Source organism: Homo sapiens, chromosome 4, assembly GCF_000001405.40.
Source record: "Homo sapiens chromosome 4, GRCh38.p14 Primary Assembly".
NCBI classification, from domain to species: Eukaryota; Metazoa; Chordata; class Mammalia; order Primates; family Hominidae; genus Homo; species Homo sapiens.
This window is the reverse complement of record NC_000004.12, coordinates 27,642,607-27,667,821: the sequence shown is the minus strand read 5'-3', so window position 1 is coordinate 27,667,821 and position 25,215 is coordinate 27,642,607. Positions and strand designations below refer to the sequence as shown.

The 25,215-nt window shown below is 34.6% G+C and overlaps 1 long non-coding RNA gene across 3 annotated transcripts, besides 1 other annotated feature; it reads left to right on the top strand.

Annotated features, from left to right (window-relative positions):
• Positions 4,943-5,479: an enhancer, noted in NCBI's record as "OCT4-NANOG hESC enhancer chr4:27663965-27664501 (GRCh37/hg19 assembly coordinates)". NCBI's record gives its function as "activates a minimal SCP1, AML or CMV promoter by ChIP-STARR-seq in naive and primed H9 embryonic stem cells {active_cell/tissue: H9 hESC(naive and primed)}" and the evidence as "EXISTENCE:reporter gene assay evidence [ECO:0000049][PMID:30033119]".
• Positions 11,326-21,849, top strand: LOC105374547 (uncharacterized). Of its 3 annotated transcripts, XR_925516.1 has the most exons (4): positions 11,326-11,351; positions 12,494-12,548; positions 18,960-19,053; positions 21,596-21,849. It is a non-coding gene; the product is annotated as an uncharacterized LOC105374547 (long non-coding RNA). The 3 variants fall into 3 exon arrangements; XR_925513.1 differs by lacking the exons at positions 11,326-11,351; positions 12,494-12,548 and adding an exon at positions 17,836-17,959; XR_925515.3 differs by lacking the exons at positions 11,326-11,351; positions 12,494-12,548; positions 21,596-21,849 and adding exons at positions 17,836-17,959; positions 19,414-19,668.
• Positions 21,850-25,215: the final 3,366 nt, after the last annotated feature.

Genomic DNA, 25,215 nt, shown 5'->3' with positions numbered 1-25,215 from the left:
AAACTAGAGACATTTTAAGTACCAGACATGTGGTTAGTGGCTACTGCGTTGAATACTACAACTCTACAGTAAAAATGTGATTAGAAAAGTGAATCTATTGTTTCCTCAGCAAATCATATATTATGTAACATATGTGTTTTATATGTGATTATATTTTAAGTGATAGAGATATGTGATTATAATATACTACTCTATGTTATACAATAATATATCGGTAGGTGTTTTTAGGTATATGAATTGGTATTTGTGTACAAATGTATGTGGGTATATGTATACATATATACATACATGAATGTGTATTTATGCATATGTATATATATAACATGCCAATAAATGTAAGCCAACATTTCATATCGTACATATATTAAAAACACAGCAATTAAAATGTTTTTAAAATTATAAAGGAAAGAGAACATGTAATCCATCAAATTAATGCTACAAGAAAAAATGACTGTTGGAATTATTAAGATACAGTATGTTGGCTTTGTTAACAATGTCAACATTTCTTAAAATTTTATGAAAGTTTACTTAACCATATGTGAGGTTTTTCCTTATGTGGTGAGATTAGAACAGTGGTTTTCAACGAGGAACAATTTATCCCCACCCCCTTCAGGACATTTGGCAATGTCTGGAGCCATCTCAATTGTCAAGATTCAAGGGATGCTTACTGACATCTAGTGGATCAAAACTAGGCACACTGCTGAATATCCCACCATGCCCCGCACAAGCTCTTGTTAACACGGGTGTTAAAGAAATATCTGTCCAAAAATATCAACAGTGCTGAGACAGAAATGCCCTGGTTTAGATCCAATGTGCTGTATGAGACAAAATGCCAATATTTTGTTATGATCATCATTTGAAAGCTGAGCAATTGTAAGTAATTTGCCCAAAGCTCAGAAATTGTAAGTAATTTCCCCAAAGTCCCAATAGCTTTTAAGTGACAGAGGCAGGCTCCAACCAAGGTCAGCCAGAATCACATCTAGAGCTCTTGCCCCTACTCCATAGATCAGTGCTGCTCACATGCTCAGTGTTGAAGGTCATATTTTTTGTTTTGTTTTGCTTCATTTTAAATTTGTATTGCTTTGTAAATCTGTATTGCTTTGTAAATCTGCAATTTTGTGAAATCCAAAGAATATTGCCTGCAAAATAACATTAAAACAAAGAATTCAAAATACAGTTCGGCAAATTTTTACCCTTAGAAATGACAGACAATATTAACCTATTCAAGTGTTATAATGGCACTCAATGTTTCCTCTTCACTCTCAATTCCTGTACTTCTCTTGTTGCTAAGCTGACCTGCACAAATTTCAGGGGCAGGATAAACTTCAGACCACAATTTTTAGTAGCATTGTAATCAAGCACAGTGGAAATTATGCTCCTTCTTTAATTAAAAACAAATTTTAAAAATTATTAAATCAACTCCAGTTTTTATTACTAGAACCTCAGTGTTATTGTTAGGCAGTTCTTTCTCAATTCCCTCAAAAAAACTAGTTTTCTCCAAGAAAACAAAAACATGGGGTTAAAAAAAAAGAACATTTGTATGTATATCAACCTGAAACATTACTGTAATAACTAAAATATACAATTTTCAAAATAATTTCTCCTTTTCTAGAACTATAACTTGTTAAAGAAGAGAAAGAGCAAAGGGGCTTATGAAATAGAATTTTCTTTAAAAATGGAACAGATCTAAATGGTATCACTAAAAGAGAAATAATTACCTATTAACACGTAAAGCAATGCTAATTTTAAATTAAATTGTAAATGCTTTATTTTTTCATGTTATTCTACTTAGCAACTTAAATCTCATTTAGCCGTAGTCTCAACACTCTGTTCCCTTAAAGATTGGATATGTGCCCTTTAATTCTACTGTCATGGAAGAAATACAGCCATTAATACCAGATAAGATTCAATGAGTAGCCTTATACAATATGCTCAGGTTGTTTTTGCAAAATTGGAAAAGCCTTTTCAGAATCATCTGCTGGCACTATCAAAACCATTAAATCAATACCACTTGGGCATATAAAGGTTGTTTGATTTTGTAAATCTTTTAGAAGTAGAAGACTAGACTCTCTTATGAATGATTGTGATGGACTGACTTGCTCCTCGCCTCTCACATGCAAATCCATATGTTGAAGATCTAAACCCAAGACCTAAGAATGTGATTGTATTTAGAGACAGGGCCTATAAAGAGGTATTAAGGTAAATAAGGCCAGATGGGTGTGCCCTAACGCAATATGACTGTTGTCCTTACAAGAAGAGATTAGGACACAGACAGGTTCATACTCAGGGGAAAGCCCATATGAGAACATGGCCATCTGCAAGCCAGGGAGTGAGGTCTCAAAAGAAAACAAACTTGCCAATACCTTGATCTTGGAAGTCTATCCTCCAGAAAAACTGTGAGAAAATACATTTCTGCTGTTTAAACCACCCAATCTGTGGTATTTTGTTATGGCCCTAGTAAACTAATGCAATGATTGAAAATCTTTCACTAAACAATAATGAAAACATTACCACTCATTACTAGTCTCCTTATATTAAGAAAACATTGACAGTGGGTTAAAACCTGGTCTTGTGTATTATCAATCGAAGTTGCTGAGCGTGCAGAGGATATAATGAAAAAAAAACTAAATATTAATTAAATGATTGCTATCATATAATACATTAAATATATTTTAAGGTGGATTGTCAACATGGATCACCTCACTAATAATTCAAGTAATTCTCCTTGGAAAAACTGAACCCAAAATAGCACTCAACAAATTCAAATAAAATATTTAAATAACGTGAACAGGAAGTTTGGCAACGAAATATTTGCCTAAAAAATGTAAATGACAGCAATTGTATGATTTTTATGAAACATTCGGTGATAACAAGACTAAAGTTGAATAATTTATTGCTTCAATTAAAATGACCTATCATTGACTCTACTGATTCTTTTTTTTTTCTCATTCCTTTGTTATTTTTATTTTTTGTCTTATTGGGATTTCTTTTTCTATTTTTTTCTTTACTCTCAGCAGAATCAGAATTTACTGATTCTTGTAAACGTATTTTTATACTTGTAGTAATTGAATTTTTTTTTAAATTAGCTACTTTCTGAACTGAATTCCATGGAGTTAAATTTGAACAGTCACTCTGAAATAAAATGACACATCAGAAACAGGTTCTAATACAAAATTATATTCTTTCTGATGCAATATGAAAGCTCTTAATGAAATATCAGAAATAGCAGTATTCACAATTTAAAAATATTCTCGTTAAGTAATACATAGTAAAAATTGATGAATTTTTGATATAAAGAATAGAAAACAGAAAAAGAAAATTTTCAACAGTGATAACTCCATTGGCAAGGCCAGTGTTTTTAGTTAAATATATTTTCTTAATCTAATGTTTTATGTTGGTAATGAAAAAAGAATCTTAAATTTTAGTACTAATTTAGTTCTTTCACCGAAGCAAAAAAGAAAAACACAACTAATCCGATATAACATCTGTGTTTTAAGAAATTACGCTTCCTTTTGTGGGAAAAGCTAAAAAGATAAAACATTAATCAATTAATTCAAACATTGTAACTTTTAATTTTACAGCCTACACTATTTCTCAATTCCTCTTCTTTAAAACATTTTAATTGAGCCAGTATCTAAATATTATCCTGAATTTTTTATTTTTTGAGATGAAGTCTCCCTCTGTCACCCAGGCTGGAGTGCAGTGGCACGATCTGGCCTCACTGCAACCTCTGTCTTAGGCCTCAAGCGATTCTCCTGCCTCAGCCTTTTGAGTAGCTGGGATTACAGGCATGCACAGCTGGGATTACAGGCGTGTGCCACCATACCCAGCTAATTTTTGTATTTTCACTAGAGAGGGGGTTTTGCCATGTTAGCCAGCCAGGCTGGTCTCAAACTCTCTGACCTGAAGTCTTCCACCCGCCTCGGCCTCCCAAAGTGCTGGGTAAATTACAGGCAGGTGTAAGCCACCACGCCTGGCCATGGCATTTTCTTCAAAAGAGAAATTTGTTAGTTCAACTAAATCAACAGGAAATATATGATTTTTCACAATCTATTTTCTTCCAAGATTATTTTAAGCACTACTAGAAATACCATGAAATACCTTCAGAACTAGGAATGTATCAATGTAGGACTATCACTGTCACCCTCGGTTAAGGAAACAGACATTGATTAGGTCACTGTCTCTAAATTTAGGAGGATTTAAGTTCAAATATTAGGGTAGTTTTATGCAATTGAGATATCATTCTAACAAGACAAATCATTTGTTTGAATACAGTATCCTTTCCACTATCAAATGGGCTTTCACTGTTCAAAATACCTTACGAGGTGCATAAATTATACTTTTTTGTGAGCAATGAACAAAGATCAGCCTTCATATGTAAAGAAAATGCAAACAAAAGCCATCAGTTTTAGAATCAACTTTTTAAAAAGTATTTCTGGTTCCAGTAACCCCCCCTAAGTAATTCTTAAATTTTTCCTGGATTAATATTATGAGGTTTGAAAACTTAGTTTATAGAACCACATCAATAGCGTATTAGCAATAGTACTAGTTAAATTCTAAACACTGTTTCTAAGACAGTGAGGCAAAATATAAAATAATTAAAATATTCATTTATAATAGCTTTGAGTTTCTGCTCTGCTAAGTATCGGCTGTGTGATGATTGTATAATTATTTAAATAGTGATTCCAGGGGCCTTCAACTAAAGCCATCAGTGGACTCCATAAATTTGGAGTGTTCAAGAATTTGTACTTTAAAAACAAAATCTCAACACTGCTTATTGACTAGGCTGAGATTAGCATCCTCAAGTTACTCCACAAAACTCAAGATGTTTCAGCATGTTTGCATTGCTGGTGAGGCTAGGTGGTAAGCATCTGTAAAGTTTAATTTTTGTGCTGTTACAGAACATTCAATGGGACTTCTATTTTCTTCTTTCTGTTTCAACATAGTTACCTTATATATTTTTCCCCTTTTTCTACAAAAAGATTATTTTCATTGGTATTTTTTTCCTTTTTGTGGCTGTTGGGGTGATCAGACCCAATACCAGGCCGTGGGGCTACAAAGTCAGTTGGAGTCAAAGGAATGAGAAAAGACAAGTTAAGAGAGAAAATGGGACCGGGGGCCAATGCTAGTATGGAGGCTGTGAAGGCCCTGAGCTCTGGGCACACATGCTATTTATTGGTGCTCAAACAAAGAAACAGTGGTGAGGATGTGGGGGTTGAAAGGAAGCAGTGTATCAAGTGAATGAGCTACAGCTGTGACCGTTTAGCATTTTCTTTGAAACATATAGCTACTTGAGATAATGGGAGTGCTAGAAGCAAGGAGCCAGCAAGTCTAGACACATTTCAGAGGCCATGAGGGGTTTGAGACCCTGGACCCTGCACATGTTCCAAGCCTTGCCTCCGTTTCTCTCCCAACACTCAGCTTTTCTCCCAACAGTGGCCAAACATAATCTACACTATCTATATTCTCAATCATCTTCTACTTCTTCATCCCCAGGACAGACATTCCACTGATCATTTCCCCTTTCACTTGTATCTAACTACCCAAAGGAGAAGAAATTGACACAATGGTATAAAAAAGATACCTGCACTTGTATGTGTATCGCAGCACCGTTCACAGTAGCAAAGATATGGAATCAACCTGTGTCCATTAACAGATGATCCGATAAGAAAAATGTGGCATATATACACAATGGAATACTTTTCACCGTAAAGAAGAATGAAATCATGCATTTGCAGCAACATGGATGGAACCGGAGGCCATTATCTCAAGTGAAACAACTCAGAAACAGAAAATCAAGTCCTGCATATTCTCAGTTATAAGTGGGAGCTAAATAATCTGTACACATGGGCATAGAGTGTGGAATGAAAGACATTGGAGACTTGGAATGGTGGGTGGGTGGGAGGGGGATGGACAATGAAAAATTACTTAATATGTACATTGTACTTTATTTGGGTGATGGTTAGACTAAAAGCTCTGACTTCAACACTATCCAACAGATCCATGTAACAAAACTACACTTGTACCCTTTAAGATTATACAAATAAAATTTTTAAAAAAATTTTATACCTTTATGTTTTGTATTAATTGTCCCAGTCATTTATTAAGTCATTCACTAAACATTTATTGAACACTTACTGTGTGCTGAGCACTGTGTTGGGCACTAAAGATACAATAATGAACAAGACATAGAGTCTGTGCTCACAGCGATTTCAGTGGGGACTTATAGACAAATAAGTAAGCAGGTTCAAAGGGTGGCATTTCGAACAGCAACATAGACATCATCTGGGAAGATGTCAGAAATGTAGAATTTCTGGCCTCACCAAGGATTTCCTGAGTCAGAATCTGACCAGATCCCTTAGTGATGGGTGTGCACACTTAAGCTTGAGAAGCACTGTAATAGAGGAAATGAAGGGCCTCAATCAAAGAATATAAACATTCACAGTTCTCTGATAACCTAAAATAAACATAATTTTTAAAACCTGCATTGTTGCTGGGTGCGGTGGCTCACGCCTGTAATCCCAGCACTTTGGGAGGCTGAGGTGGGTGGATCACCTGAGGTCGAGAGTTCGAGACCAGCCTCACCAAGATGGTGAAACCCCGTCTCCACTAAAAATACAAAAAATTAGTTGGGCATGGCTGTGTATGCCTGTAATCCCAGCTACTCGGGAGGCTGAGGGAGGAGAATCACTTGAACCTGAGAGGCAGAGTTTGCAGTGAGCCAGGATCAGACCACTGCACTCCAGCCTGGGCAACAAGAACAAATATCTCTGTTTCAGAGAAAAACAAACAAACAAACAAACAAACAAAAACCTGCATTGTTTTCAAACAAGACTTTTTCTTACATTCCCTCAGTTTATGTTCTACTCAAACTATGCTCTTTGCAGTTTCTAAAAATACACTTGGTTTTCTGAATCTTTTATTTTTCCATGCTTGTCTCTAAACCTAGAATATTCTACTGTACCTGTCAAGTTCCTTCTCAAATAATACTATTAGTAGCAGTCATGATGACGTTAGTTAACTTTGGTTGAGCGCATACTATGTGCCAAAGGGCTCCTCTAAAACCTTTATGTTTATCAGTTAATTTAACACTTATGACCCTGTTTGAGGAAGGTACCATTATTATATTCATTTTACAAATGGGGAACTGAGGCACAGAGAATTTTAGTAATAACCACTCCATTACAAAGCCTTTCTCCATTCTCTTGGTGGGATACAATCTATTCCATCTCTAAATAGCCTTAAAGCTTTCTCTATGACTCACCTAAGAAACTTGTTACCCCTAACTCATGGTTATTTCTATGTTTCCCTCATCATGCTCTGCTACACATTAACCTTTTCCCACTACACCTTAATCTCCTGTGGGGCTTAAATATTTCACATCCATGGCACATATTTCCATGGGATTTTTAACACTGTAAGGGTTCAAATATATTTGCAGCATTGACTAATTTAATATTTTATAGTATATGTTTCCAGACATCAAGTATTATGCTTTGGAGATTGAAAAAATTATATGAGACAAGGTTTACTTTGCAAGATTGTTGTGATAGTGACTTACATGTTGCTTTAGAAATTGTTTTAGCTTATTTTCTCTTTTTCAGAATACAATTTAATTACAGTATCAACCTGTTCTTCTCACTTATTTATTCCTCACCTATTACTGCATTTGTATGGCTTTTACCTCAGCTTTTTATAAAATTCAACCAAAATAAATTATACCACATCTAGTGTGGTCAAGCCACTGTGACTAGAGGAAGGTGACTAGAAGAATGCAACCCAATGATGTCCAAAGAACCTGGAAAAATTGAACAGAGGAAGTATTCAAACACATTACAATACAAGAAAGACTGAAGTTGTAAATTAAGGATTCAGAGTCCACCAAGAAAAGTTATTGAAAAGAAATCACCACCCTACTATACTAGTGAATGTTTTCTCGATCATTTTGAGTCAAACAAAACCTCCAAGAAAAACTGCTAAAAAAATATACAAAATAGGTTACCAAAACACGAAGAAAACCTAACTAGTCTTTTTCTTTGGGACATTAAATGTAGAAGACATCTAAAGACTGACATTTAAGGAGTTTAAGGTTGGAAAATGTTTGCAACGTATTAATTTTAGTTCCCAATCAACTTCATTTGTGAAGAGATTAGCTAATAAAGCCACCTATGTTTTTTTCTTGAAAAAAAATTCAAGGCAGAGAAAAGTGGCTCACACCTATAATCCCAGCACTTTGGGAGGCCTAGGCAGGAGGATTGCTTGAGGCCAGGAGTTTGAGACAAGCCTGAGCAACATATGAAGACCTCCGTCTCTACAAAAAATAAAAAAGCAGCTAGATGTGGTGTCACTAGCCTGTAGTCTCAGCTACTTGGGAGGCTGAGGCAGGAGGATGACTTGAGCCCAGGAGTCCAAAGCTGCAGTGAGCTCTGATCACACCACTGACCTCTAGCTGAATGACAGAGTGAGATCCTGTCTGTAAAAGGAAAAAAAAAAAAAAAAAAAAGACATAGCCCAGCTAAGAGATGAATAAAAAATGAAGAATACATTAATAGGTACAGTTGGCCCTCTGTATTTGTGGGTTTCACATCCACAGATTCAACCAACCATAGATCAAAAATGTTTAAAAAAAGCTGGTGTGGTGTCTCACGCCTGTAATCCCAGCACTTTGGGAGGCTGAGGCCGGTGGATCACATGAGGCCAGGAGTTCGAGACCAGCCTGGCAACATGTAGAAACCCCATCTCTACTAAAAATACAAAATTAGCCAGGGGTGGTGGTGCACGTCTGTAATCCCAGCTACTCTGGAGGCTGATGCAGGAGAATCACTTGATCCCTGGAGGTGGGGGTTGCAATGAGCCGAGATCGCACCACTGCCCCCCAGCCCGGATGACAGAGTCCATCGCAAAACAAACAAACAAACAAACAAAAACAACTTTGAAAAAAAATTAAATATTACATTTTTTTAATGTAAAGGAATTAGTGAAATGTTGAATCAAGTACAGTGCAAACTGTGGCTCAGGAGAGGAAGTGATGGCTTCTAGACATGTCATTATAAATCTCTAGAGGCAATCAACTTTAAAACAAAGAAAAATATTTATTTTGCTTTCACTATGGATCAGCAGACAAAATTCCTTCTAAGAAGCCATCTTACTTTAACACTAAAGATAATGAGTTATCATTAACAAATGCATGGCTCATGGAATATTCTGCCACTGAAGTAAAGTTAGATAACGTTTTAATAGTTTTAGCGTTTTCAGTTTGTACAGTAATCAATAGGGTTGCAAGATTGCATATGTAGAATATGCAATAAACTCATGGAGAATTTAGAGCAGACCATGTTTCTGTACATTCTATAATTTAATAAAAATATACATAGACAAAAGTATTGTATGAACCCTTTTATTATTTGGCTTTCTTTCAAGTTTATAAACTGCTTCCTTCTATTTTCCTCCCTGGTCAAATGTTATAAAATATATGAGTGTATTAGGTGAAATATATTTATATAAGGGTGGCATAATAATTAATAACTGGATCAATAACAGATAAATTGCTTAATTACATTATCAGTTCCAAGGAAGATAAAAATATAATGCCCTTGAAAAAGCATAACACACCTTACAATCTAATGAATAAGAATTTTTACAAATTCCCTTTATGGGTAGATGAGTAATTTCTATAGAATAATATATCAATGTACGTTTGGTTCATAGCAAAATAATTTGTAAAATATCTGATATAAAGGTTTGTATACCATTGGTGGAAGGCTAAGTATACATATTTGTTGTTGTCATCATTAATATCTGAGCATTAACATTTGGGTCAAATATGCCTTTTAGAGATTTATTATTCTTTCTGCCTTTTCCTGAATTATCTGCTATGTAGCCACAGAAGTAGAAGAAAAGCAAATGGGCCCAAATGTTATGATAAAGATACCATGAGATGTTAATTTTAAAAATAAACCTAGTCCCAGGAAAATAGAATGATGCGGCTTACCTACGAAGAAAATGGTAATAATATAGAACGTGTAGTAATATGTTTAAAAAGTTGGATTATATATACAATTGATGATGTTTAAGTGATACATCATGAGAAAAAATAAAAATCAACAGAAAGCCACAGCTCTCTGATTAAACCATTTTATAAGTATTTTATGTGTTCTGAAAAGTAGACTTTTCACTCTGTATATACCTAAAGAAGACCCATGATTTGAAAATTTCTATTTTTACCCTCTTATTTTATTTATAATTTATATAAAAACAATCCACAATGATATAAATAAATATATGGTTTTGACATTAAATTTGGACCGATCTCAATGTATATTGTGAAGGTTCATAGATAAGCTCATGAAATAATGACGTTATTTCATTGTCCAGAGTTTCTTTTCCCACTGACAATACCTTTTTATAGCAATAATTGCCTCTAAACCCCAATTACTAAACTTCGTCACTTACAGTTATGTTCAGGGAAAATGTTTAAGTAAAGATCAGTCTTCAAGTCTCCTGAAAGTCTTAGTTAATCTATGTCAAGGCTCAAAATTCTTTTGATATTCAGTCAATACTAGTTTATTCAGGATTATTGAAATCTTTGAAGTAACCATTTGATAGGATGATTTGCCTTTTAGTAGGATTCACTGACATTTAATGGGAAAATAGATATTCCTTTTTCTCTTCATCTTCTGAGTTCACTCCCACACAATAGAAATATATATTTTAGCTTTGTACGTTTTTCTAATATTTCTACTCATCTCTTTAAAACATAAGCATAAAACCTGAAACTCTTTTTTACCCAAAAAAGCTAATCCTGGGGTCTTTTACTTTATGTTTCCTAGGTGTTCCAGTTCTTCTCAATGGTCCCAACACATGTAGCTCTGCACCCTCCCCCTGCCCCAAGGTAATAGGTCTATTTATTGAGCTAATTGTGCCTCTGGATAAAACATACATGTGAGAAATGGGAGGAAAACAGTATAAAGACAAAAATCTACATGTAGTCTAGAACAAAGAGACAGAGAACACATGGTAGGTGACAATTTGAGAAACTTCAGCTAATAAAAGATTTAACTTACTTTTTAGCATAAGGGGCAGCAGACTTTCTTTAAAAGACTCGCTGGTGAATATTTTAGGTTTTGTGGGCCTGGATTTGATAATTGTGTCCATGAGTTCATGCTTCTTTTTTTTGTTTGTTTGTTTGTTTGTTTTGTTTTTGTTTTTGTTATTTGTTTTGAGACGAAGTCTCACTCTGTCTCCAGGCTGGAGTGCAGTGGCACGATCTCAGCTTACTGCAACCTCCGCCTTCTGGGTTCAAACGATTCTCCTGCCTCAGCCTCCCGAGTTCATGCTTCTGCAATCATTCAGTAAGTATGAGGCATTAACTATGCTATTGGCACTTTAATGAAAGCCGTGGTGAGTAATAAGATATGTCATTCTTTTCTTCAAAGAGTTTGCAATTAAGTAGAAGGAAGATAAGGTCAATTCTCACCAAGCAACAATAAAATTATAATACTGTTTGAGAAACTGTTGAGCGCAGTCTCCGCTAGTGTAAAGTTTAGTTTTAGCGGGGTTGACACAGAAGTATAACAAATCAGACTGAAGAGGTCAAGGAGGTCTTGTACAGTGGCTCACGCCTGCAATTCAGTACTTTGGGAAGCCAAGGTGGGAAGATCACTTGAGACCAAGAGTTTGAGACCAGCCTGGGCAACATAGCGAGATCCTTTCTCTACGGGGAAAAAAAGAAGAAGAAGTCAAGGAGACCTGGAGTTTAATGTAGCTACTGCTCAGACACCAGAGCACTATGAAAAAAGCTTTCTACACAAGAGGGTTAATTTGTGTCCAGAGTAAACTTAGCATGTTCATGGAAAAAGAAGTATATTGTAGCTCTGAAAATCATGGACTCTAGAGCTGAAAATTTGTGGCTCTAAATCACAGTGCTGCCCCTTCTCAGCTGTAAGACCTTTAGCAAATCGCTCAAACTCTTCCTTTAATTGTCCTCATCTATAGAATGAGGATAATTATGGCTCATTGTGTGATAAGATTATCATAAAGATAAAATATGCTGATAGTATGGCATTTGGTAAGTTCTAAATAAATGTTTACTATATTATTATTATTAGACACCCAATACAAAATAAGCAAATAGCTTAAAACCAATATATTTTCAGAGAAAAAAAATTCAGATGAAGCAATTGCTCAACCCATAAACAATTCATAGTATGACTAAGAACTCTTAGGATGTTTGTAGCTTCCTTATTGTTTTCAAGTGTGTGCAAACAATGGTTTTGTTTGTTTGTTTTACATATGTGTGTGGGGGGATCTTCATGTGGCAATCATTAATGTATAACGCACACATGATATAATGTTTATCCCTATATTTCTCTGTTAAAGAGAAAGTGAAAGTAAAAGAGGGATAAAAAGAGACAGGGAGAGAAAGAGTGAAAAAACACAGAGGTTTGGGGCATGTTAAAATATTCAAACATACTAATTTTTTATTTCCCTCTAGCTTCCCTGCCAAGAAGAATGATTTTCCAACCACTACTAACCAGCAAATGCAGCATGTAAGTGTCTGACAATTCCTTCCAGGATAGTTCTTTACAAAAGGGACTGCAAAATTTGCAATGCCAATATTTTAAAAAGTAAATATGACTAAGACTTATGTACAAGAAGCAAAATATTATTTTTTGCACCAATATACTTAATTTTACTATGCATAGAATTGGTATACCCACAACTATATACTATACAGAAATAGTTCTACTATAATTATGATAATATAACAATGAATATTTGGTTAGAATTTTAAAGTTTATGTATAACAATAAATAATAAATATTCCTCATGATATAATACAAAGATTTTCTTCTTTTCTAAAAGAATGAACACCTCAATAGGCAGTAAAAATATTTATATTTTTCAAATAATGGAATATTTGATGTAGGGGTTCTCCATATACACAAATTTTCTGTTCACTAACTGACTGCCATTTAACTTCAAGGGATGGCAACCAACTTCTAGAACTAGCTAGCCTATTTTGTAAAAAGATGCATTGCATTTGTCTAGTTTTTTTATTTGTGATTATTCTCTCCTTTTTTGAAATGATTTACATCATGGCATTTATATTAACAAATTAAGGATATTGTGAGCAGCCTTTCAGCTAAGTAGCTAAAGCAACAATGTCACCAGTTATCAATATTTGGAATTCATTTTTCAACCAGAAAATATTTAATAAGCAGATAAGTGATCAGTATTGTATAACCCATGAGAAAACTAAAAGGCAAATCACTTATGAATGCTGTCCTAAAAAATGCACAGTCCTACAGGAGCTACATACGTATCATATGTACATAAATCAGTAAGACTCTAACAGTGTTTTAAATGTGTGTTTTTTTAAAATATGACTAGTGAGCATGACAGATATAAGGAGTGATTGTGACTTATGATTTGAAGGGACCAAACTTAATAATCACTACATAGTACATTACAGACATCAATAGAAGAGATTGATAATAAAATAATAACAACCAGCCATAGCTCCAAAGCAGAAGCTTGGATGTCCCCACATCGTGCCCCGTGTCAAGCATTCATTCTTTAGTCTATCACGACAATGACTGAGAAACCTGAGGGAGGGGCTGCAAAAATCCAGAAAGGAAGGGATGTTCAAGCAGTTCAGCTAGTGACGATTTACCAACTAGCATAAAAACATTTCAATATTTAAAAACTATTTTAATACTTTAAAAACCACCAGTAGGGAAATAGGCTAAATATACGCTCTGCTATTCTGAGATAGACCTCAAAATATGAACCGCATTTTAGCTGTTGAGTATGTTATATGAGGCTGAGAGTCGAGGTTTATTGAAGAACTCAATGTGTCATTTTCAAACAGGTGACTTAGAAAATCACATCAGTGAATCCATACAAACACTGTAAAATTGTAAAATTACTATTGCAACCTATTGTTTCCAAATTGTGACTTTTACCATCTTTGAACCCCGAATTCCTACTAGATCTCTTGCTTTCTGTGACTACCTTCTTTGGTGATCTATTTTGCTTTTCCTCTATTTCTCAATGACTGTGGCACAACTCCCCAGAGTGGTGACTCTAATCACTTTCCTAATTCAGACAGCTCTAGATACAGACTAGAAAAATAGTGCACCTTTATTTTTGGCCTTTGACCAGCACCTTACCATCTAACGTAGTCTGCCACAATTCCACTACCCCAATGGTGAAGCTTAACCCAATTTTGATATTGGGATTTGTGTGAGAGTAGCTTGAAATTGACATCATAGAGAGGTTATTTTTCTCTTATTTTCTTTAAACCTAAGTGAAGTATAATCTTACATTCTCTTAATTTTTTTTCTGTTGAAATAACTGGCATGGATCTAAATGCAATTGCATCTTTTGTCTGTTTTTATTTGAAAAAATTTGGAAGTACCACTTTATAAAACAAGCTGTGTAGAACCTATTTCCCTTCCATGTTCAAATGTCATGAATATTTATGAACCCAGAGATGAAAGCAGTAAAATAAAATGAATTGGCTTGAGCCAAATACTATTCTGCGATCTTTTCCAGTTCATTCAACTGACTGCCACTTGACCAAGACCTCACTCAAATGAACTTACACATTAAACTACTCACTGAAAAATTGATTTCCCAAATGTTTTCCAATTACAAAATCACATGGAGTTTTGCAGAAGCAATCTGCAAAGCAATCAATATTGGTAAGACAAATTTGGTACAAAGTTTTAAAAATCAAATACAGGTTATCATCTGTTGGTTCTCAGGCCCTCATGCCCCTTCCAACAGTGTGCTCTTATAATTGGTTGCATTTTAGTTCTGAAAGTCTCTGAAGAGGAGCCTCCTACTCCGTAAGAGAAATTTGCATCGTTCTCTTGACCATGTGACTTGTGGGGCCATCCTATGGCAGGAATTTATTTCATGACTCCATTGTCAGCTGTGTGACCATTTGACTTTCTCTGGTCAATAAAATGTGCGCAGAAGTGATGCAAGTAAATTCCAAGCAGTAGTTTAACTAGCTGTTATATATTATTGCTTACTCTTGTTTTCATCATCTGCCATGAGAATAGTGTGTCTCAAATACAGCCTGTTCTTTCATATCAAGTTCCAGAATAGAAGCTCTATGGAAAGAAGACACATGCAACATTTAGCTTCAATATGCAATATGAGTGAGAAATAAAACAGTGTATAAGCCATGGAGATGTTCAGGTGGTAACTGAAGTAAAACCTTATAAAATTGACACTGAAATGAGATTTTTTCATAATATCCCTCTAAAATATGTGACACTGGCTTTTGGGGCTAGGGGAGGAGGTAAGTTCAGAACTGTTATTGAATCTTTAAAAAGCAGCCACATCATGAGTTAAAGATGCAAAATATTTTGTAAAATTTTTACCTATGATGATTGTAAGGCAAATAATGTGCTGAATGTGTTGTAGATTTCATCACATGAAGGTTGGAATAAGTAATGTTACTGAGGAGACAATTGTTTTTAGTGACCAAGACAGCCTTAACATTCCCCTAATCTTGACTAAACTTTAGATAGGTTTCTTTCTGACTATAAGTTCCTGACCTTCCTTCTCTTAAAGCATTTACTTTAGAAGACTTGCAATTGTACATTCTTTCTCTGCCCCTTTGTGATGCACATCTTCTATGGCCCAGGAACCTCTTTTTCAAGGACCTGGAAGCCATTCTTTTGACATGTGCAATCATCAACAAACATACAGCTCCTGTTTCCCAGTCTCTATAGGAATATAGGTGCCAATGAGCAAACACAGTAGTCTTAATTACATTGACCAACCTCCCAACAATGTCTTCCAAAACTCTTCCACTTACCCTAGTGTTTAAAAATTCTCCTGCCTGTTTTCCAGCTGAGTTGTGTTCAGTATCTCTCCCTATTGCAATAGCCTCAACTGATATATTCTTGCCTGTTTAACTCCATCTGGTGATATTTTTCTTTGACATTAGCTACATTTGACCAACTGCTACAGGAACTAATTTGGCTTAGAAAAGTGTTGGCTGAAGATGGAGAAGGGAGACTCCAGAAATTTTAGGACTTAAAAGGTGAGGGATGGAATAGCTAAAAAATAAATTAAGGTTCAGCCACAGAGCAAAGACCAAATCCAGTAGGTAACTATCAGTAACCTTTGTTTAATAAAACAAGCGTAGCACCCTTAATTTACCCTAGAAATTCTTTTCAATGGACAAAATGTCTCAGGATAAAGAGACTGATGGTATGGTGTTCTCCCCTAACAACTGGCCAACTCAAATGGCCTGTATCTCAGTTTAGAGGGAGAAGCATAGCTCAGAAAGAATTGTGAGTCAAGCTATTAGCACAATTACCCTGACTAGAATCAAATAAATACTTTGTTGGCAGAGTTTTTGAGTGAGTTGCACTGCCAAAAAAGCTACTAGCTTAAATTAAAAGATATTGTGGCTGTTCAAGGTGTACAATAAACTTTGGGCTGTCAAATTTCCATGGCAGAATGAAGGTGGGAAAAAATCTCTCAGGTTCTAAAGAAGTCATGTAATTTAATGTCCTCTTTGTATATGACCAGGAAGGATAATGGAAAAGGAAGAATTTTTCAGAGAGTGGAGTCAAGAGTCAAGAATCAAGGAAGAAGCAACTCTCATGAACTAGAACTAAGGCTCAATTGGGAACATTCCCTACTTCAAAGTTAGGGGCTATATTAAGAGCAATATTTTATAATTTCTACTAACAAGTATCTGATATCTGTTTTCAGTTCTTGCTGCTTCTGAATTGGAGTAATTATTATTGCCATTTTATCTCTGTTTAATCACTAAGCCTTGGGCATTTGGAAGACAGAATCTCATTTTTTTTTCCTTTAAAATTTTAGTTTCTTAACCAAAATGTATTCCATGTAGAGGCTATATGAAGACCTTGGGTCATTCATTGCTGAGCTTGAATGGAGGTTTTACACTGTCCTTTACATGAAAAAAACTGTGTTGAATTTTGCATAAAGAGGGAGAAAGAAGGCAAGTGAGTATTTGTGACCAGGAAAATGCATTGTGGTGCATAACATTTTTGTTCTCAAATACATTTTCCTCTATTTATGAGAGGAGCTTACATCTTTTCCCATAAAAGGGTAAATTCTATACCCTTCCTTTATGAAACTCAACCAGCCACACTGTGAGTTGAAATGACAAAGGCCAGTTCAAAGCAGAAACTTTAAAAGCCATTGTGTGTGTTTCTATCAGCAGTCTTGCTCTTTTACTCTGTACTGAAAATGGTATATCCAAAATATGTTACTCCTGCAGCCTGAAAAAGAAGACACATGGAGAAGACCTTCAACTACATTGAAGCTGCCAACATGTAACAGAGATAGAAATATAGCATAGCTATAAACCGCAAATATCCTGTGGCTGTTTGCTGCTATAGAATAACCTAAAAATGCTGACAAGCATAGTGCTATGCCTACAAGACTGAAAGCCTGAAAATTAAACTTCACCTGATCCGTTTCCATCTCGACTGTGATTAATTACTGTCAGTAGGAGATTTCTTCAGCATTAGAAGAAATGTGGGTTATTTTCCCAGAAATACCACATTCTCTCATCCTTACCTCAGCCCCATGAGCAATGACAGCTTCTTATAATTAGTGATCCACAGATAATATTGCTTTTTTCTAATTTACTTCTGCCTAGGGGATAGTAATAACTATTTGCTCTTATTATACTCTGAGTAACATTGCCCTTCTTTTTATTCATTTTTGTTCCTGAAGTCCTTCTACTTTCTAACACTTCCATAATAAATTTCCTATATTAAATCCCTTTCTGAATGAAATACCTAGAGTAGATTGACATCAAAAAAAAAAAAAAAAAAAAAGAAGTTTGGAGTGTCTGCTCCATGTTGGATAAAAAAACTAAATAAAATCCTGGGAAATGTGAAGAATGCCAAAGAAATGGAAAAATGAGGACAGAAAAGAATACTACTGCCTGGTAGGTATTATGTGATGACATATATTTAATCAATCATATGAAACAGACATTATTCACTAAATTGTCGCTATGAGGACACTTCAGTTTAGAGAGATTAAGTGAATGTCCCAAAATTATTCACAATTGACAGGGATAATATCACAACTCCTGGCTGTGTGTCTTTGAAGTCTACTTTTTTCAAATTTTGAACTATTTTAATAATTCAGAGATGAACTAAGATAAACTCTTAAGTAATATAAAATAGTAAAAAATAAGTGTTAATATGCGCAGCAAAGTAAAATATCATAAAATGAGATCTATAAGTAGGATATGCCCACAGATAAATGCAATCTAAGAAAATGTGTTGAAAAAGATGTGGTTTGCACTGTATCTTAAAATATAGATAGAATTAGTGTAGGCAATAAAGAATACATTAAAATGTGGAGGTTCCAGAAAAGAAACACAAAAAGACAAACTAAATATTATTTGCTTCAGCAGCACTGAAGTTGTTGAATTGACAGAAGTTGGAATTAGACTTCTAAGTTAATGAGAGATAAAGTAGAGATATGTAACAGAGACAGCTAAGTGCTTTGTTGAGTTCAGCCCCAGCCATGGAAACTGAGTCTTTGAAATTTCCTGAACAGGTTAGTTATTTCACTGGCAATATAAAGAATAGATAAGATCAGAAGAAACTCAAATGGCATATTGGTTGGTATGCTTTTGCGTTAATCAAACATTGACTTGATAATGTCCAAATGCAGAGGGTTGCTGGTAGACATTACTATTCATGCAATCGAATGTTCAAGGTGTCTAAAAGAGTGGTAGAAAAGATAATCTGTAAGTCTCATAAACTTGTAAAGCCTCCTGGTTATAGGTTTTGTTATAATCTTTTTTCAAAAAGTAAGCTAAAAGTTGCAAAACTTCTCCAGTAATCCTGCCAGTATTTTTTCACTTGTTACTCTTCTTCATACATAACTAAAACCTGTTCTGCTTTAATAAAGATTTTTTTTCTTTTCTTTAGGTTTCTGTGGCCATAGGTCAAGCTGGAAAACATTTTTCCATAAAACCATGTGCAATTTCATGCCACAGGTGAAAGAATAGCCCAAATCCACAAGGTACTGTTATGTCCTACAAATTCTTTCACTCAGTCATTATTGATGTGATTTACAATTAATACGTGATTGTTTTACGTTACATTATATCGTAACACTGTATTACATTATACCATGCAAAGCCCAATTAATGTATTCTTTTTTATATGCATTGTCAGCAGAATCTACTAAAGCCTTGAGTGTATATGATGTGTGTTGTGGGCTGAATTTTGTCCCTCCAAAATTTCTATGTTGAAGCCCTAATTTCTGGAACCTCCGAATATGACTGTATTTAGAGATAAGACCTTTAAAGAGGCAATTCAATTAAAAATAAGACCATTAGGTTGAACCCTAATCTATTCTGACTGGTGTCCTTATATTAAGAGGGAATTTGGATGTACAAACAGAACCAAGGATGTGCAGAACCAGAAGAAAGATCATGTGAGAACACCGCCCTAAGTATCTGCAAGCCATGGAGAGAGACCTCAAAAGAAACTGAACTCTGACAACACCTCTATCTCGCTCTTCTAGCCTTTAGAACTATGAGAACATAAATCTCGGTTTTTTAAGCCATCCAGTTTGTAATACTTTGTTATGGCTGACACAGAAAACTAATAAAAGATACAAAAATACAGTAAATAATGCACGTTACTTGATAAAAATCAAGTAAGAAACTTTTAGTACATAAATTAGGTAAATAAAATGTAAAATGTTTATCTTCAGCTTCTATACAAACATGAAATTTACTTTGAACTTCTCTGAATTCTCATATTTCTTCTTTAATTTATTCCAGGTTCAGATAATGAGTGTATTATAAACAGAGTCTCAAACTTAATTTGATAACTGAAAGTGACTATGTTGGTAATTTAATTTCAAAGTTATATCTTCAGCATTTATGTACCACAGAAACATTTCACAATAACATTCTAAAATTAATGAATTTTCCCAGAAAAGTGATTCCAATCATTTGAAACTTTTTACTTATGTACACGATAAATTTAATGCAAACATAAGCCATTCCACAAATACATCTAAATATTATATCACAGGATATAGCATGTAATATATTTCTATAGATCAGTAGGAAATTCATGAAAATTCAAACCAAGTATAAGTTTTGTAAATCACACTGTACTTTTCCATTGCTTGTGTTAGTATTTAACTTTTCAAGTATTTTAATGCTGTTTTCCCCAGCCAGTCTATAAATTCTTCAAGAATTACTTATTGTACCACCTACAGCAAAATCAGAAACATGAACAATATAAGTAATCTATAGTCTGTATGGATAGAATGAATCAATAATTCTAACAACCTATGAAAGTGAGTTCCTAGAAATATTTACATATGTATATATTTAATTATATATATATTTAATTATATATATATATATTTTTTTAATAAAGATAGGTTCTCACTCTGTTGTCCCAGCTAGTCTCAAACTCCTGGATCCAGGCAATCCTCCTGCTTCAGCCAAAGTGCTAAGATTACAGGTGTGAGTCACCATGCATGCCTGGCCACTATGAATTATTTTTTTTTAAATCACATTCCGACCTCTGTTTCTACCTCAGTTTGGCTTTTTATCCCAGTATGTCGGATGATTTCCACAAAAATCTTTCAAAAAGATGATTGATGTTGATGTCTTTAATGCAACAACATTGAGACATCAAGTGGAGTTACAGCTAACTTGTGAAGTAGCTTGAAATTTCTATAACCAATGGTGGTGAGTAGACATTATTTTGGATTTTTAACAAGTTTCAACAAAATTCAATGTGTACTTAAGTATTATAAAAGAACGTAGTGTAGTGGTTAAGAGGTAAGATCCTGGAATCAAATTGCCTGTGTCACCATTTATTATCCTTGGAATTTGGGCAAGTTATTTATCATTTTGTGGCTTTGCTTTCTTGTCTATGAAGTGGGACTGAACATATCTACCATATAGTGACATTAGGAGTATTACGTGCATTATCTTTGTCAGGACATACTGAAATATGTTTGCTTCTAAATATAATCTATGGAAGTGCTTGTTAAATAAGTGAATAAATAAATAAATATTATATTGTTTGCAAAGATTCTACCATTCAAAAAGTATTCTTTTTCTCTTTCATTAAGTTTTACCCTATGCAAACAATTCCCTGCCAGATTTGTTGATGGAAGCTATCACTATGAAAACATAAAGTCAACTTTTACATTTTTAAAAAATCGCTGAAAAGTTGTTGAAAAACTTGTTGCAAAGAAATGATTGCAAGTAATGGAAATATGGAGAAGCCACAAACAGACATAATTTCTCCAGTTCTTAAGTTTTATTTCCTGTTGACTAGACCAGTATCACTGTCTTTTATCTCACTTAGATTCACCAAAAATATCTAATCATTTCAAATCTTTCATTTTTCTATCCCTACCTATTTCAACACATAAAAATGAATAACTTGATCAGGGCAAAGTATCCACAACAGTGTGAGAATTCTGCTGTTTCAGTCAGAATTTTTCCTCTCGAGGCAAGTCTGTCTATACTTAATCTTTCCTATTTCTTTGGTCTTCTGATCAAAGTTTTTTCTGACTCTTTTAGTAAATGCATCGGTCATTCTCCTTTGATGAAAACCAGTTCATGGACAAATCAAATGTATGCTTCTCTCATCTTATGCAATTCTATGAAGAGTCACACAAAAATGGAATCCAGTTCTAGGATATCAAAGAATCACCAAGTTAAAGGAGAAATTGAGCTCTAAGGGAAATAACTTCCTATTGAAACAACAACAAAAAATCTGAAGTCCAAGGAGAAAAAAATAACCTTTAGTAATTGCCTTGTTATTGTTCAGTTTATTCTTTTTAGCTTTCTTCAACCCCTCTTGTTAAAGGGCTCCATGATGAACTATATTCACTAATATAAAAGCACTACATTATATATATGTGTGTGAGTGCATCAGAAGACAATTGAAAACACATACAATACCATAACAAATTAACATATGAAAACAATTTCTTTAACATAGTGGTCTCCATCCTCTCTTAATCATATTGAAATTAATGCATGGAAATGACATTATTCAAATTGTATTCCCTGTTTAGTATAAATGCAAGAAAATTGCATTAAAATTGATCTATTTAATATTACTAAGGTAGTATTTGATGCTTGTGAAGTTAGAATGTTCTTAGCATCCATTAAAAGTATACACGTTTAGCTCAATCCTATCAAATATAAAGTAAAATAGTTAAGATCATTGAAATTTTGACATAATTTTACATGTCCTCACATAATTAAAAAATAGAAAAATTTTACACATACTAAGCATCTCTTTGACAGGGAGCTTCTGACCTTGAAAGGCACATTATTCCAGTTAATGAGCAATTCCAAGGGTATATCTTCTATGTAAGCTGAACATGATTGCCCACTGAGTGCAGTTCATTGGTCCTAGATCTGTTCTCTAGAGTCTTGCAGAAAATATTAAGTCATTATTTTACATGGAAGACCTTTAAGCACTAAATATGCTACTTTGCCCTCCAAATTGCACTTTTCCAGAAGGAATATCTGGCCACAGTTAAAGCATATATACAGGCTTTCATTAATGAAAACAGAATCAGAGTGTCAATTTGATGAGTTATCTGTGTCCAATTTGGATCCTTAGGGAAGAGTTCAACCCTGAACCACACTGATTTAATTAAAATGTTCTAAAATATTAGCTAAATAAGCCCCCATTTAAAGTCCTTCAAATTCACTTTTAAGTCAATTCAGCCCTTTAGACATGCTCTTAATGTTTAGCTTCCTGCATCTCTGCTGTAGTTGCTGTTTTATTTTATTTTTTCTTTTTCCTCCAGTTGTCCTCAATATAAATTGATGGGAACAGCACACATACAATATTGTAAAATGCTCATTCCTGTTTTTGGACTGCTGGCCAAGCAACTCTTTCCCATTGAACATTGGCAGCACAGTGTGATTTCTTTTATGATTTTCCATTTCTATGAGTTTTCTTTGCAATTTGGCCTAGAAAATGGGATCCTGGGAAGTTCTAAGGGTCTAATAACCAGGGGCCTTTGGAATTTATCAGAGGCAGAAACGATGCCAGCTCAAATGCAAGCATTTGTATTATTGTCCTCTTCAAAAATAATGGCAAATTCTGGGGTTTATTGTTTTTTACCAGGCAGAGTAAGTAAATATTTCAAATAGAGGATGTTTGAGTGTCATAAATACAGTGAAGTTTTGAGACCAAAGGATCTAAGGTGGCTTAGAATACTTACTGGGCAACATACCATTACATTTTTCCTCAAGCCTTCAAATAATTATGTAACTATAGTACATTAAAGATGCACTATAGCACCAGTGGTGACAACTTAGAGAGACCTTTCTGAACACCTGAGTTATATCTACGCTATACTCTTCAGTCCACTGACATAGTTAGTAGAATATTTCACAGCTACATTTTAGGATATGTAACTCAAAAATCCTTAAAATCATATTTATTTGGTTGTAATGTCTTCATATATAAATGTTTTATTTATTATCATCCAAATGATTTGAAAATTGTTTTCTAGTTTTAAGAACCTCCAATGTCTTTATTTAACAGGGAAATTTTGTATTTCCCCACTTGAGCACTACAAACCTACCGTTTTGAGTACCCAGTAAAGTGATGGATATGTATTTTTTTTAATGTCTTAGTTTTAACTGACTATATAACGAATATGTGTTATGAACTAAATATATGAATCCCTCAAAGTTTATATGTTGAAATATTAACCCCCAATATGTTAGTATTAGGAGGTGAAGTCTTCAGGAGATAATTAGGTTATGAGGGGAAGCCCTCATGAATGATATCAGTATCATAAAAAGACACAGGAGGCCGGGCGCAGTGGCTCACGCTTGTAATCCTAGCACTTTGGGAGGCCGAGGTGGGCAGATCACAAGGTCAGGAGATCCAGACCATCCTGGCTAACACAGTGAAACCCTGTCTCTACTAAAAATACAAAAAAAAAAAAAAAAAAAAAGTGGCCAGGTGTGGTGGCGGCGCCTATAGTACCAGCTACTGCAGAAGCTGAGGCAGGAGAATGGCATGAACCCAGGAGACAGAGCTTGCAGTGAGCCAAGATAGCACCACTGCACTCCAGCCTGGGCAACAGAGCGAGACCCCGTCTCGGAAAAAAAAAAAAAAAAGAAGAAGACACAGGAGACCTTGCTCTCTGCTTTCTTGGCTATGTGAAAAATAACATGAGAAAATACTTATTTGCAAAACAGAAATATTGCCCTCAGCAGACAAAAAAATTATTGGCACCTCGATCTTGGACTTCCTAGCCTCCAGACTGTGAGAAATAAAAGTATTGCTTAAGCCACCCAGTTTGTGGTAATTTTATATAGCAGCCCAAACTGCCTAAGATAATACAGGACTTAAGTGTGAGGTTAAAGTTGTAATGTTGATTTTCTGTTTAACAGACAAAGACATACTTTTCAGAAAAAATACAGAGGTAGGCTTTATATTTAGATTACATAATAGCTCTGCACTCAGGGTTAAAGGTAATATTTGAGAAATTGTTTGCTTTGGCATAAGATTAGATAATTTCAAAGTATTCTTTAATCCTGAAAGTCTATGAATTTAAGGAATCCAACATCTACTTCTGTATGGAAGGCTAAGGTAAAATAAGCAAGATAATGGATATAGCAATCAAAATCACACACACCCATAATATAAGACCAAGACAAAAGTTGTCATTGGGTTTTGATATTTAGGGAAGGTTTTCTGAAAGTCTACATTTAACAATGGGTAAAAGCTGTGAAAAAACAGAGCTTAAGAGCTCTCTGGAAAGATGGAAGTTAAAGAAGTGCACAAAATGAAAAGAATTTTGCAGTCCCTTTGAAAAATCACAGGGGGTAGAGGCAAATGTAAGTTTAAGGCATGTATAGTGAAGCAGTAAGAGAAGCACCTGGACATTTATAATGAGGCTATACTTTGGAGATCATTGAAATACAAATTAAAAATGGACTACTCTATGTGAGACAATGGGGAAACACTGAGCAGGATAAATATGATTACAATTACACTTACAGCTAATCATTTTTCTTCAACAGTAGAAATGATCATTTGAATAGTGAAGAGAAACCAAAAAGGGGAAAAAAAATATTTACAGTCAATTGCAATAGTCCAGTATAGAGCTAACGAAGTTTTGGAGAAGGCTGTTGGAAATAGGACCAAGGACATAAAG